Source organism: Homo sapiens, chromosome 12 (genome assembly GCF_000001405.40).
Source record: "Homo sapiens chromosome 12, GRCh38.p14 Primary Assembly".
Taxonomy (NCBI): domain Eukaryota; kingdom Metazoa; phylum Chordata; class Mammalia; order Primates; family Hominidae; genus Homo; species Homo sapiens.
Genome location: NC_000012.12, coordinates 105,345,907 through 105,361,342, shown reverse-complemented (window position 1 = coordinate 105,361,342; position 15,436 = coordinate 105,345,907). Strand labels below are relative to the sequence as shown.

Here is a 15,436-nt window from a genome sequence, read left to right as displayed (position 1 = left end):
ATCTGCAAACCATTTTAAGGAATCAACATACCTTTTTCCCCCTCACAAAACTCTTTATTTTGAAAGATTTTACCTGCCTTAATAATTTCAGCCTGGGCAACACGGCAAGATCTTATCTCTACTAAGAACACAGAAAATAAAATAAAAGTAGCCAGGTGTGGTGGTGTGCACCTGTGGTCCCAGCTACAGGAGGTGGCGGTGGGAGGATCACACGAGCCTCCCTCTTGTGAGGGAAAAGGGTACGTTGATTCCTTAAAATGATCTACAGGGCAGGCGCGGTGGCTCACACCTTTAATCCCAACACTTTGGAAGGCCGAGACAGGCGGATCACCTGAGGTCAGGAGTTCGAGACCAGCCTGGCCAACATGAAGAAACCCCGTCTCTACTAAAAATACAAAAATTAACTGGGCATGGTGATGTGTGCCTGTTATTTCAGCTACTCGGGAGGCTGAGGCAGGAGAATCGCTTGAACCTGGGAGGCGGAGGTTGCAGTGAGCCGAGATCGCGCCATTGCACTCCAGGCTGGGCAACAGAGACAGACTCGGTCTCACAAAAAAAAAGATCTAAGATGAGGCAGCCCAGATGTTCACCTGAGCCCGGGAGACAGTGGTTGCAGTCAGCTGAGATCACGCCACTGCACTCCAGCCTGGGTGAAAGAGCAAGGCCCCGTCTCAAAAAATAAAAATTGTAATAATTCACTTGTCAATATTTTCTTACACATGTAAGTGCCAAAAGGAGCTTCTGATGGGCATGGGGGAACTGAGGTGCCCACAGGTAGCTTATGTCATTCAAATCAAAGGCAAATAAATTTTACATTTACAGGTACACATCACCGTAGGCACACATAGATTTCTATTAGGTTTCAGAAGTTACAAAAATAGTGTCTGGTCCTTCTTCAGCCCTGAGGATCCAGAATGTCTTGCTGGAAATGGCCATGCTCAGGCCAGAACATCCACAGCCACATAAGCTCCTGGATGAGCCACTCCGTTCTTCACCAAGGATGTGATTATTTTCTTTTCTGGTCACTACAGCTCCAGTTGTAGGGCAGTGACCACTGCATGCTCTGCAGCCGTGATTGCTGATGGACTGCAAAATTTGTCCCCCAAACCAGAGAAAGAAATGGGGAGGGAGAGCAGAACACAGAGCCACACCCTCCCCAGCCTTGTGAGAATAGCAGCCAGTGATAGGGCCCAGAAGGTCTTCAGAAGGAGGCAGCAAGGCCCTAGTTTCTGCAGTCAGTCCTAATGCAGATCAGTAAGAGCAAGGAATGAGATGACTTCACCCTCTAGAATCTTCCCTCAGAGATCAGGGCCTGGAGATTGAATTATTCTGTGCTGGAGGAGATAAACAAAGTGAAGACAAGGCCAATTCACGGTGGCTGAAACTAGAAAAGAGGTCAAACTGTCCTGCTGCACTTGATCACACTCTTTGGGAGTTAATTGGTCCAAACATCTCTACAAACTCAGTTTAAACATAATCTTGCTCCCGTAGAAAAGGAGCAAATGGACATACAGCAACCAGGATAAATCTCTCATGGTATAATCGTAATCTTTTTTTTTTTTTTTTTTTCTGGAGAAGGAGTCTGGCTCTTTTGCCCCAACTGGAGTGCAGTGGTGTGATCTCAGTTCACTGGAACCTCTGCCTCCTGGGTTCAAACGATTCTCCTACCTCAGCCTCCCAAATACCTGGGACTATAGGCACACACCACCACGCCTGAGTAATTTTTGTATTTTTAGTACAGACGGGGTCTCACCATGTTGGCCAGGCTGGTCTTGAACTCCTGACCCCAAGTGATCCACCCGCCTTGCCCTCCCAAAGTGCTGAGATTACAGGTGTGAGCCACTGCGCCCAGCCAGTAATAATCCACTGCTAAATAATAGCCTCCTGGGGTGGAGGGCACAATTCAGGAAGCAATGCCCAGACGCCCACAAGCCAACGCACTAAAAACTGGAAAATGGGAGAGAAGCAACTTAGGGGCAACAAGAGTACCCCTTAATCTACTATAAATGGGGAAGAAACCTTGAAGATAAGGCTTATACCAAGAGAACCAAAATGCAGAGTTAGAGGAGATAAGGGATCAGGTGCCATAAACCAAATCACCTAAAAATAAAAAGTAAAAGGTGAATTCTACCAGTTTGCCTCCCACCACTTCTGGCCTGGCCCCAAGCATTGAAGCTTATCACGACTTCTTCAATTTCACAACCATGGAGTCAAACGTTGGTGCCGACGCAGGGGAAGAGAAACTAGCCCAAATTACCAAGGGATCAAGGGAAATCTGGAAATAAGTACGTGGCACATCAAGACAAATCCTGCTCTTGCTAGGGGAGCTATGCTAGACATTAAGTCCATTAGAGAAGTGAAAGGGGAAGGAAGACCCAAGGGAAGGGACTGGAACCAAGTGCTGGGGTTTGGTCGAAACATCATCCGCTTTACAGCTGTGCCCAGAGCCAATCTTAGAAGGAAGACTGACTTCTGGAGTCCAAAGAGTGCTGGAGGAAGCCAGTACTAAAGGATTTACATTAATTTACTGAGCAGTGATTCCATTTTCTAGTTGCACACGAGCCACTACTCTAAAGAATAAACTTGTGTAATAAGCTTGTTTTTCCAGGGTAAGCATGACTGAAAACCTATCGGTAAATTGCTTTCTCTGGTATCAAGACAATGTTTTGTTTCTCCTCATCTATACCATTTGAAAAATTTGTGGAAAGTAATGCAACATTTGAAAAAATGTAAGACTGAAATATTTTTTAATCATAACCTCAAATACCATCTTATCAGGAAAACCCTGTATTTATTTATTATTATTGTTTTGGTTTTTTTCTGAGACAGGGTCTTGCTCCATAGCCTAGGCTGGAGAGCAGTGGCACAATCATAGCTCACTGTAGCCTCAACCTCTCAGGCTCAAGCGATGCTCCCATCTCGGCCTCCCTAGCAGCTGGCACCACAGGCGCACACCCCGCACCTGGCTAACATATATGTTTTTTGGTTTTGTAGAGATGGAGTCTCACTATGTTGCCTAGACTGGTCTCGAACTCCTCAGCTCAAGTGATCCTCCCACCTTAGCCTCCTGAGTGGCTGGGACTACAAACACGTGCCACCATGCCCAGCTATAAAACCTTTTAAACCACAGGAACGTTCCCTAAGAACCATAGAACATGTATTCACCAATTTGGACCAGGTTTAAAAAATACACTGAGCCCAGCGCAGTGACTCACATCTGTAATCTCAGCAATTCAGGCAGCCAAGGCAGACAGATATCTTGAGCCCAGGAGTTCAAGATCAGCTGGGGCAACAAAGGGAGACCCTGTTTCTTCAAAAAATACAAAATAAAATAGCCAAGCATGCTGGCTTGCACCTGTAGTCCCAGCTACTCAGGAGGCTGAAATGGGAAGACTGCCTGAGCCTGGGAGGTCGAGGTTACAGTGAGTCATGATCGCACCACTGCACTCCAGCCTGGGCAACAGAGCAAGACCCTGTGTCTGTCTGTCTGTCTGTCTGTCTCTCTCTCTCTCCTCTCTCTCTCTCTCTCTCTCTCACACACACACACACACACACACACACACAGAAAATACATTGGGCATTCAACTAAAATCAGGTCTCCTTTTGTTAGCAAAAAAATGTAGCTTCTTTTATCAAAGAACAGGTGATCAAGGAGAAAGAATGAGTCGAGGTTCAAGCCACCCGTTGAGTATCATAATCATCTCCTAGCCTAAGGTCACACACTTACAGGGCTCTGAGTCAGACTTTCAGTCATAGCATTAATAAAACTGTTTGCAGAAACAAGTGTTATTCAAGGTGACCCCCGTAACTCATATTCTCCCCACTTTCAACGTCTTTTGGGATTGTTGAAAAGATAAATCCTCAGTTGATGGTTTAAACATGACTCACTCTTGTAGAGTAAGATACTGTTTAGTGATATGTACCTTATCAAAGTTGGCTTGACACTCGGCATGCAAGAAAAAGAAAGAAGAAAAGAAAAAAAAGCAACTGACCAAAGGCAACCACTGCAACTAAGATTACAGATGGATGGCTTCGGGTTTCCTCTGTCTCAGAGTTTCTATTAATTCCACTTCTAGCTCACTTCCTGTGAACTTACTAAAACCAGCCAGGTGCTCTTCTTACCCTTCTCAGGGTGAATAGCAGTGCTGATCCAGATTCTCTAGGTAGTTATGCATCCTTCTGTTTTATACTAGGGTCACAGACTTTTTCTGAATGAACTGGAGACATTGAATGTCTCTCTAATCATAAATAAGCTCTGTCTTCTTGTAGGTCGGGGTTCTGGAAGGTGGGCTGCCTCCAAAACGACCATGTCTCTGTGGCTGCTCTTTGGGGTGGGTGGGCTTTCGCCTACCTGGCCTTTTTTTAAATTAATGTATTTTTTGCATGCCTATTTAAAACCAAATATCTGCATGGAACACCTCAACCTTACAATCATTTTAAATTACTATGATTTATCTTACCAATAACTATCACTTTCATTAAGTGAAACCTTATTCAAAGTTAATACATAAAATATGAATCTTTTTCTTCCTCAGTAATATATGGTAGTCAAAATCTTTCATCATTACATTTACTTAGTTTCTGGGTTGTATAAAATAGCTATCCCAAGTGACCTAAAGATTTTAACAGTGAAATAATGGAACCATGTCATGATCAAGGACAAATACAGATGACAAATATGAGATAGCAGCCAGCCATTTGAAACAGCAGCTCCCAAGTCATCCTTGCTACAACTTACCTGAAAATTCAGAAAGTTCTCACTTCCCTTAGGCTTCTAGAACTAACAAAGTTATGTGGCAAAGAAATGATTTATTTTTTACTTATTCATCAAGAAAAATGTTCTAAATATACAGCTATTCTTATTAGAGATGATCTAAAAAGCAAAAAAAAAAAAAAAAAAAAAGCCTGTAGTCTTTTCTTTTTCCCTATTTGCAGTGTCACTAAAGAGGCTAAACTTACTTTGACTCGTAAACAGTAAAAATTGAATATGGAAACCCTGGAGACCATGGCTCTCCTGATCTGTTTCTAGTTACCATTCATGATAACCTTCTGGAATAGGTTTATTAATTGATTGTGTTTACTTCCATCTACACTACAATTCTCCAGATAAAATATAATTATTTAATTTTCTTTATAACATGTTTTCATGATGGTTCCTGCTCCTTGGGGTGGTTTCAATCCATTCTAGCAAACCCTTAATTACACAATGAATTATGTTTTACCATTGGCTGTTTTGGCCTATGTTTAATATCATTCATTTCTTTCCAATTTCAAAACTTCTTTGGACTGTTTTCTTTTGATCTCTCTCCCTGGATGAGCCCATTGGCCAATATTAGTCCCTTTCTTTCTTCCAGAGTGTATGACTGGAGAACATGAGTAACATTCACTTCAAAGGAATGCTTTCAACTTCTCTTTATCCAGAAGCAAGAGATCAAGAGCCAGACTGCAAATTCCCTGTCCTCTCTAGCTCTCCTCCCCCCAGTTATTCTCTTACTAAGGGGCACACAGTGTTAGGAATTATTTCAGAATTGGTTGTAAAAATATCATTTGCTATAAGGCAAGGGTGCACTCTTCATCTCCTTACCTTAAGAAATTTGGCTTTTCCTTGCTGGCACCACTTTTCTCAAAACCTCAAGAATATGCATCTTGTTCTCACCTACCCTAGCTTCTCCTAACAGGAGACAGAGCCAGCATGCTCCTCATCTCCCCACAGAGCTCTTACAGGTGGGGCCATTTCATTTTCACTCAGAACCTCTCCTCTCTGGAGTCTAAACCCTGCCATAACTGTCCCCAGAGCACCAAAGATTTTGACCCTGACCCAAAGTTTTTCTTTCTAAGCACCATTATCTTGGTCAATTTAAAACTCCATGAAAATGGCCACGTGCAGTGGCACACACCTGTAATCCTAGCACTTTGGGAGGCCAAGGCGGGCGGATCACAAGGTCAGGAGTTCGAGACCAGCCTGGCCAATATGGCAAAATCCCAACTCTACTAAAAACACAAAAATCAGCTGGGCGTGGTGACATGCGCTTGTAATCCCAGCTACTTGGGAGGCTGAGGCAGGAGAATCACTTGAACCCAGGAGGCAGAGGTTGCAGTGAGCTGAGATAGTGCCACTGCACTCCAGCCTGGGCAAGAGAGCAAAACTCTGAAAAAAAAAAAGAAAAAGAAAAAGAAAAAGAAATTCGTGAAAACCACCCATCCAACCTCTCACCTCATATTTTGCTGACTTCCTCTATCCCAACAACTTCTGTGCTGCTCCGCTAACATACTCCGATGGCTGCTCCATGGAGTATAGTTCCTGGAACTATTTTACCACATTTTAGAGTAGAAAATCCCACTCCCTAGGGAGGAAAAAAAAATCCTCCTTTCGATAGTCCCATCATTCCCAAGAAGGCTGCTTTCTTATTGCAACATCAGCTCCAGTTCATCCATCCCTCCCCGTCCTCCCTATCCATCAGCCCCTCGTGTTTCCCTTCCCTCTCTCCCTAGCACATGTCTTGCAGTCAAGTATTTCTGCAGCACTTGCTGGTCACCACCTATTCCTCTCCATCCCTGGATGAATCCGTCCATCTGCTCTCTCTCTTCCTGCTCCTATTTCACAGGGTCCGACCTAAGGAAAATCTCATCATGGCTACCAATGGGAATATATGATTTCTAACCACAGCAAGGCCCTCAATATGCTGGGTCTTCTGCCATCAAGTATTCATGTCAGAGGCCCTGCCAAATTTTTTCAACAACATTTTAAACTAACTAATAATTCTAGCTGTCATTCACCGGGGGCAACAAGCATAATGCCAAGTATTTTCCTAGGATATTAAATATACTGTATTTGTAATCTGTCCCTCCAGCAGCTACTTCAGCTCTCTGTGCTCCCCACCTCCTCACTTGTAAAATGAAACATCATTATTCTGTCCATCAGATTATCATGGGTATGGAAGGAGATAACGTACAGAAAATGCTGGAAATCAGTGTATGGTGCACAGTCCTCAGTAAAGATTAGCTACTACTGTAAGAATGATGATGATGAAGATGATCACCCTGCACAGTTATTATATTATCCCAATTTCACAGATAATTATACTAAGGACACAATGTAACACAGCTAGCAAATGGTGAAGGGGATTTTAAACACAAGTCCCTCTGCTTCCAAAATGCAGGCTTTTTCAATGCTACTTCAACCCCATCCTCTTCACCCTCAGAAGACAGCGTTACCTTCTACTACATGGATGAGAAAAGAGCCCATCAGATACCCTAAGGTCTGTATCTATGAGGAGCAGAGAGGGCTCAGCTGACATGGGTGCATTAGACATGGTAAATTTATAAAGGATCCCAAGAAACTCAACATAAAAGATTTATCATTTCTTTTTTCCAAACACAAAAACAAAAACAAATTGCCAATGGGTTTTATGTCATTTCATTCCAAAATATTTTTCCCTGTATTTGCTACCTTCCATAATAATAAAATAGCTTTACCAAGGAAAGAATCTCAGTAAGATTCACTTTACATGTTTTAAGTGAAAGAAGTATTTGAATTACATTGTTTACATTGAGTAGCTATGGTTTTTTATTTTCAACAGCAAACATTATATTTGAGTCAACTTATTTAATACTGTTTCTTATTTGAAACGTAGTCATAATATTCTTATAAATATTGCTTAAGCTTTAAATCAAGACTTCTTTAAGAACACGAAAATTGATCTACAAAAAAAAATGCTTTCAATTAAATTCCAATTGTTTCGGTTTGCCCACTTACAATTTCTCCCCTTTTTTTTGGTAACGGCATCCCAATTTTTCCGTGGGGAATCACCCCTCTTCTGCTCTTTGGCCATATGGTAAGGTGGGGCTGATGATACTGATTGGCTCCAGTGGTGAGCACATGACTGCAGCCTGGCCAATGAGCACCCCACATTCTCCTGGCCCACTGACTGATTCCGAGATAGGAACATGACCCCAACGGGCCAAGAGAGCCCAGCCCTAGGACTTTTGATCAAACTACAAGGAAAAAGAAGCTGCTTTTTTCCACAGGAATTAGGAAGCTGATAAGATATAAACTGGTCCTGTTTGTCACCACTTGAGGAAAGCTGCCTAAGAATGAAGACGAAAGCAGAGAAGAGAATTTCTTCCTGTTGTTTGATCACCTGGATCCAGCTGTGACTACAGCCAAGTCCCTGGAGCTTTTCCACTCCACATGCCAATAAATTCCTTTGTGTTTGTTTGTTTAGGCCAGTTTAAACTGGGCTTCTGCCATTTCCTACCAAAAATATCCCAACGCAGCCTATTTGTGCCAAATAGCTGAGAATCTGCCACACTAAAATAAGAACATGGTTGATGTTGGCAGGTTTGTGAAAGCGGCCGAATGTCATTACCTTGAATTCACTGTTTTGTTTGTTTTGTTCAGTGTGTTACTGCACTGTGATTTAATTTCAAAGAGACAGAAAGAGAGGGAAAAATAGGCTTGTTTTCTGATACACATGTAGGCTTTTTCTTATGGTGATTAAGTTTCTAGACATTGTCAACCATGCTTTCAAGTGTTGAAGGTTAACCTAGCTAGGTTTTGAGTTCTCTAGCCTGTCATAGGATTTACATGCATCGTTATTCTCTCCACCACCAGAGAGAAACCCCCTCCCCAAACCACCATCAGCTTTTCTTACTCGCCTGGTTCCTGTCTTTTAGCCTACAGCAATATCCATGCCTCCTCCATGCCAAAAAATAATTTTTAAAAAAAGACAAAAGGAAAAACAAACTTCAATACACAAAATCAACCATACTCACAACTGGGCAGAAACAACCAAAAAACACTTGAAGAAAAGTGTAAAATGTTCATAATGATTGTCTCTGGTGGTAGAATAATAACTGAATTTTTCTCTTAAAAAATACTTTCCTGTACTTTCCAAATTTCCTTGGTATTCTTTTTCTAATACAGTATATTCTGAAAATTTGCCTCCTCTTAAAGCCACCAACATCCCTCCATTCCTTACCGCCAAACAGCATAAAAACCAAAGACCCACATCACTCTCTCCACTTCCTTGCACCTGGCTCACTTCCACTTTGACTTGGTTATCATTCACCCTGCTCAACTGAAACTACAGTCCCCAGGGTGACCAATGTGGCCATCATGACACACGCAATGACTTCTCTTCCTCCTTCAGCCCCCCATGACCTCTTTGGACTATCAGCCATCGCTTCCCTTGGCTCAAGTTTGACTGCAGCATTATCCTCAGAGTTTCCTTTCCTTTCCTTCCCCGTTCAGTCATTAAACAAATCTTATTAATTACATTTTCTAATGCATCTTGTTTGTATCACCTCTTCTCCTTTCCCTCTGCTATCTGACCCTCTTGTAGCCTCACTTCCATTATTCCTCTGTGCCTGCACCCTCCCTCATCCCATGTGTCACACTGCTTTGGGAGTTACTGCCCTAAAACTCAAACATAATCATTTAATTCCTCCACCTTAAAATCTCTATCAGCCCTTGAATGCATAAAAAAAAACAAGCACGATTATTGGCCTTGCACCCAAGGCCCTTCACAAGCCAGCCCTGCCCATCAACCTCATCTTTCACTTCTGCCCAGACTGTACCACAGGCACAGGCTCCAGGGGACACCACCTGGCTGGCTGGTCCCAGACCTACTGTCCTCTGGCACTCCCATGCCTTTTTTCATGCTTGTCCTCTGCCATGGGTTGCCATTTTTCTCCTTTTCTGCATGAACTCTTGTTCATCCTTCAATTCCAAGACCAGCATTAAATTCTGAACACTGGAATAATTAGCACTTACCACACTGTATTTTGGTCCCTAGTAGACAGTGAACTACTTCAGGACAGATACATCATTTTATTTATTATTATATACTGACTTCTCACCTATAGAAAACAGCAAATAAATAAGAAAAACGAGTAGTAAAAATTGCAGACCTTTCCTAGAGAATTGATTTTTTAAATATATAGTATTTCTGGCTTCCAAAAATAACAACCATTTTCCCACAAAGACTTTCCTGTGGTCTGCATAATATTGTGTTTGCCCTATTCTAAGTTCTTTACTCTCAGTACTTATTCTACTATTTTGGCCAATCCTTCTGGTTTGGGAATCAGTCTGTTTAGATTTTAAAAAAAAATTTTAATGTGCATAATAAAAAAATTAAGTGTCATCTTAATTTCTTAGCTCGTCATTCATTCATGGCATCACCTAATATTACAGTCAAGATTTATAAATCTATAGCTTCCACTTAAAAAATTGAACGTGCCTGAATATACCTTTTGTGTAAGGAAAAGTAATATTATAATGTTCTTTAACTTTTTCCAGGTAAATCCACTGCATTTGTTTTTAAAAGGTCATTTATTTAATAAATTACTTTATTTTAAAGTTATAGGACATAGAATGAGGTATAGTCAAGGGAAATCTGAAGAATTCAGGATTCTAAATAGTGAAATAGTTAAGTAGTTAAATGGCATCTCGCATCCTGGAACGGTTAATTCTGTTGACAAAATCATCACTAAATTTTATTAGAAAAAGAAAGATGTCATGAAATCACTCTGTCCTTGAAAAGCAATGATGGAACTGATTCAACAACTATTTATTCAACACAAACTATGATCAAAGCATGACATGAATAACTCTAGAGCACAATAAAATGGGTAAGGTATTGCCCCACTCTCAATCCTCAAGGGAAAAAAGACAAGAACATGAAGAACTACGATATAAACCCAACACGATGCCCCACAAGAAAGGTCCAAAATGCTGTGAAGGTTCTGAGGAGAAAGACACACTATGCAGCTCAGAGAGCCAGGAAATACTTCTCACAAAGGATAACACACATGCCCTACAGAACAGATGTCATTTCTATAAACAGAAAGGGAAAGGGAAAGGGCCACTCCAGGCAGTGGGCACAGCAAAACACAAGGACAGGAGCAAGAAGCATGAGGTCGCAGAAGCCCCTGAGAACAGTGGCCTGAAGAAGCTCTGCACAGCCCTCCCAGCCCTGGGCTCTGCTCACTCTCCACTGTAGCATCTCCTCCCACGCCATGCGAGCCAGTCGGTTTGAGGCTAAAACATAAATGCTCTTCCTATTCCTAATAAATCCTGGGTTCAGTCCAGAGGACGATGGGAATAATTGAAAGGTTTTGAGCAGAGGTCCTATGCAAGTGCAGGGCAGTGCTTGAGGAAAATTAATCTGGCAACACATATAGAAATTGAAGGGAGAGACTGAAGGAGAAACCAAAATATTGCAATAATAGGAATACGGTCAGGGTGCAGTATTCACTGTTGCTAAATGTTTACGTAATAAACTCCAACACAGCAAACAGGAGCTAGAAGCCATCAATTACTGCTTCCTTTGTATCTAAAGTCCTAATTTTAAAATGCATATTTAAATATTTAATTCCCAGAAAGCTTTACAATCCCATTCTCATCTTCTCTAAATTCTTTGTAATAAGAAATAAGAAAGTCTGACTCTTTTTTTTCTTTTTTTTGAGACAGAGTCTGGCTCTGTCACCCAGGCTGGAGTGCAGTGGTGTGATCTCGGCTCACTGCAACCTCCACCTTCCCAGTTCAAGCAATCCTCCTGCCTCAGCCTCCCAAGTAGCTGGGATTACAGGGGCCCACCACCATGCCTGGCTAATTTTTTGTATTTTTAGTAGAGACAGGGTTTCACCATGTTGGCCAGGTTGGTCTTGAACTCCTGACCTCAAGTGATCCACCCGCCTCAGCCTCCCAAAGTGCTGGGATTACAGGCATGCGCCACCATACCTGGCCCTATTTTTGGTATTTGACCATTGAAGGCTTTTGAGCCCCATCACTCCCCTTTTGCCCCACATCTGTGTAAGCCAATAAGAAAGTGGGGGCACTTCTTCCCTGTGCCAGCAGGAAGATCAAACCTCTGCCCATTCATAAGTAGCCTCACCCCAGCCCACTCTCCAACCAAAATAAAAACTAGACCCGTTTGGATGGCTGCCCTGCTCTCCCCAGAAAGCCTCATGTGAGCAATACATCTTTCCACACCCTCCTGAGATGTGGTGAATCAGTCTTGACACCCAACCCAGTTTTGGGTGGGAGAGTTGATCCCACCCTTCACTGGGTAACCAGAAATACTCTTAAAGAGTGAACTGCTGTAGTGTCCTTGCTATAGCTAGATTAGAGGCAGGAGGATGCAGAGAGAAGGGGCATGGAAATCCTGAATGCTCCTGAGCTCCAGATCTCTCCACAGGGAGATGCCCATTATTAAATGCCCTGTGCTCTAAAGATAGCTCAATGGTGACTATGTTGAATGGCCCTATATATTCATTCGAATATCTAGTTATCAACTTTAAAACAATTCAATGTACACTTGGTAACTGCTTGGCCCCAGCCTTTCCTCCCCAGCTAACTCTAAAACACTGCGTAGTCATAGGAGCTACATGCTTATTTCTCCTATAATCACTTGCTTTTAACTAAAAGAAAAAAAAAATCTCTATACCAGTTGGGATGGAAAACACAATTCAACATTTCCCCTTCTTAAGATCCTGAGTTAAAGTGCCCAGGCAACTGAAAAGCTAATGAAAAGCACAAAGAACCCTCTCTGAATAGCACTTTAGTTACAACGATCATCTTGACATGTGCATTATACACAAAGTATTTCCATGTCTTTTCAGCCATACCCACAGAGATCTAAAGGTCATAATCATGAAAAACAGCAACTTCCTCAGAAAGACAGCTTATAAAATCATTAATATTCAATACTTACACATCTTTGGCTGCTCCTGCAGGGCCTAGAGAAAAAAAGAAGATAGGTTTGTATTGGTGTGATAGTATTGCTACAAAAATGTTGTCTAATACCTAATTAAAATACAGTAATATTCCTGAAGAGAAAATGGGTTTAAAAAAATTTTCAAAAACAGAGAAAGGAGGGCAAAAAAATCATAAAATTCAAATCTTTTTTTTTTTTTTTTTTTGTTTCAGATACAGTCTCACTTCGTTGCCCAAGCTGGAGTGCAGTGATGCAATCTCGGCTCACTGCAACCTCTGCCTCCTGGGCTCAAGTGATCCTCACACCTCAGCCTCCTGAGTAGCTCGGAATACAGGTGCATACCACCATGCCTGGTTAATTTTTGTATTTTTTCTTGAGATGGGGTTTCACCATGTTGCCCAGGCTGCTCTCCAACTCCTGGGCTTAAGCAATCCTCCCACCTTGATTGCCCAAAGTGCTAGGATTACAGGCATGAGCCACTGCACCGGGCCTCAAATTCCAATCTTAAATTTCAAATTTAGTTTAAGTTTCAAATCTTAGCTTTGGAATCTATTCCACCCATCTTTAACAGTTCCTGTAAATTACAAGGTGCCAGTTCTGAAAAAGATTTTACAGATCACATTAATCCAACCTCACATTTTATGAATTTTAAAACTGGTAGACTTCGAGAAACATTTTCTTTTTTAAGCCATACACCTTTTAAGTTGGTGTCTGCACGGCAGGTTAAGTCAAACTGTGCGCTAATGCAAGCAATGGACTAAATTAATTAGGAAGCCTCAAACACACCAGCCTAGCTCCAAAAAGAGTCACATGCATCTCTAACTCTGCTCCCATTGGCTTCCCATCTGTGATGGTTAATACTGAGCGTCTACTTGATTGAACTGAAGAATGCAAAGTATTATTCCTGGCTGTGTCTGTGAGGGTGCTGACAAAGGAGATTAACATTTGAGTCAGTGGACTGGGAGAGGCAGACCCACACTTAATCTGGGTGGGCCCCATCTAATCAGCTATCAGCACAGCTAGAATAAAGCAGGCAGAAGAAGGTGGAAAGAGCAGACTTGCTGAGCTTTCTGGCCTTCATCTGTCTCCCATGCTGGATGCTTCCTGCCCTCGAATATCGGACTCCATGTTCTTCAGCTTTCAGACTCTTGGACTTAGACCAGTAGTTTGCCAGGGGCTCATGGGCCTTCAGCTATAGACTGAAGACTGCACTGTTGACTTCCCTACTTTTGAGGTTCTGGGACTCGGACTGGCTTCCTTGCCCCTCAGCTTGCAGACGGCCTATTGTGAAACTTCACCTAATGATCATGTGAGTCAGTCCTCCTTAATAAATTCCCCTTCATACATTCATCTATCCTATTAGTTCTCTCCCTCTGGAGAACCCTAATACACCACCCATGTGACAAAAACAGCTCATCTCTTCTGGTCTCCATCCCCATTACTTCTCGCAGATTCTCTGCCCACATTTCCTCCTCCCAATATCTTTATCTGGGAGGCACAGGACTTGGTTCCAACTCCTACAAGATATATGGTATTAAGCATCCTTTAACCTCTTAAAACCTCACCTCCCTTATGTCAAATGAGGGTAAAAGGTATCTTTCTCAAAGGTTATTGTGAAGATTTAAAAAGACAATGTGTAAAAAGACAATGTAAACACTTAACACAAAGCTGGCACATAAAAATAGCAAACTAAGTTATTATTAGACGTCACACTTAATATTTCAATTTCGATATATATTAAATAGAAATTAAAATAACTTCTGCACAAGTCACAGAGGTGTAAAAATAAAGGAAGATGTGCTACAAAGTAAGTAAATAAGTCTGTGGGTAAAGTTATTGCCAAATTGCAAGAACAATCAAACAATGATATTCATTTTGCATCTGTAATACTGCAAATTAAAAGCTGATCCTAAAGATAATTGAGGCTATGTCTCAAACGAATTCTTTTAAGGCTTTGACTAAACCTAAACTTTGTAATAATCTTAGTTCCTTTCTTCAGGGAAGAACATTTCTGTGCCACCATTACTGTTAAAATGATACATTATGTAAACTACTTTAGAATCAGAGATTATTAAACCAAAAGATCCTAAACTTAAAAAAAAATCTTAACACAGGAAAAACTGCCAACAGTAGAGTGTTTTTGATAGAAAAAAATTAACAAAAATTAGTGCCACCATACACCCGTGAAAATGAACGTTTTATTTTAGAGTCAAGCATGAGAATCTAGAAGAAAATCTGTGTAAATCAAAAAGTATTGAGATAGGTCTCAATCAATTTAGAAGTTTATTTTGCCAAGGTTAAGGAATGCCTGTGATACAGCCTCAGAAGGTCTGGAGAACACGTGTCCAAGGTGCTCAGGCTACAACTTGGTTTCATACGTTATGGGGAGACATAAGAGGCCAATCAATACCTGTACGATGTACACTGGTTTGGTCCGGGACAACTCAAAAGTGGTGGGGGTGTGGGGGGTTGTTTCCAGGTGATAGGTGGATTCCAAGATTTCCTGATTGGCAATTGGTTGAAAGAGTTTATTTAAAGATCTGGAATCAATTGATTCCTGGAATTGTCTTGAGTTAAGATAAGGGATTTTGGAGACCCAAGGTTTTATTTTGCAGATGAAGCTTCTTTAAATGTTTCTTATCAGACTTAAAAAAGTGCTAGGCCGGGCACGGTGGCTCACGCCTGTAATTCCAGCACTTTGGGTGGCCGAGGTGGGT

General features: G+C 41.7%; 1 protein-coding gene across 1 annotated transcript in view, besides 1 other annotated feature; it reads right to left on the bottom strand.

The window, feature by feature from the left end:
• Window positions 1-15,436, bottom strand: part of C12orf75 (chromosome 12 open reading frame 75) — a 40,828-nt gene that overhangs the window by 10,176 nt on the left and 15,216 nt on the right. The window contains exon 2 of the mRNA NM_001145199.2: window positions 12,717-12,741. Within this exon, the coding sequence (NP_001138671.1) occupies window positions 12,717-12,741 (25 nt within the window). The remainder of the gene's footprint in view (window positions 1-12,716; window positions 12,742-15,436) is intronic.
• Window positions 3,638-3,707: a silencer, noted in NCBI's record as "silent region_4811". NCBI's record gives its function as "represses an Ori minimal core promoter by ATAC-STARR-seq in GM12878 lymphoblastoid cells {active_cell/tissue: GM12878}" and the evidence as "EXISTENCE:reporter gene assay evidence [ECO:0000049][PMID:35858748]".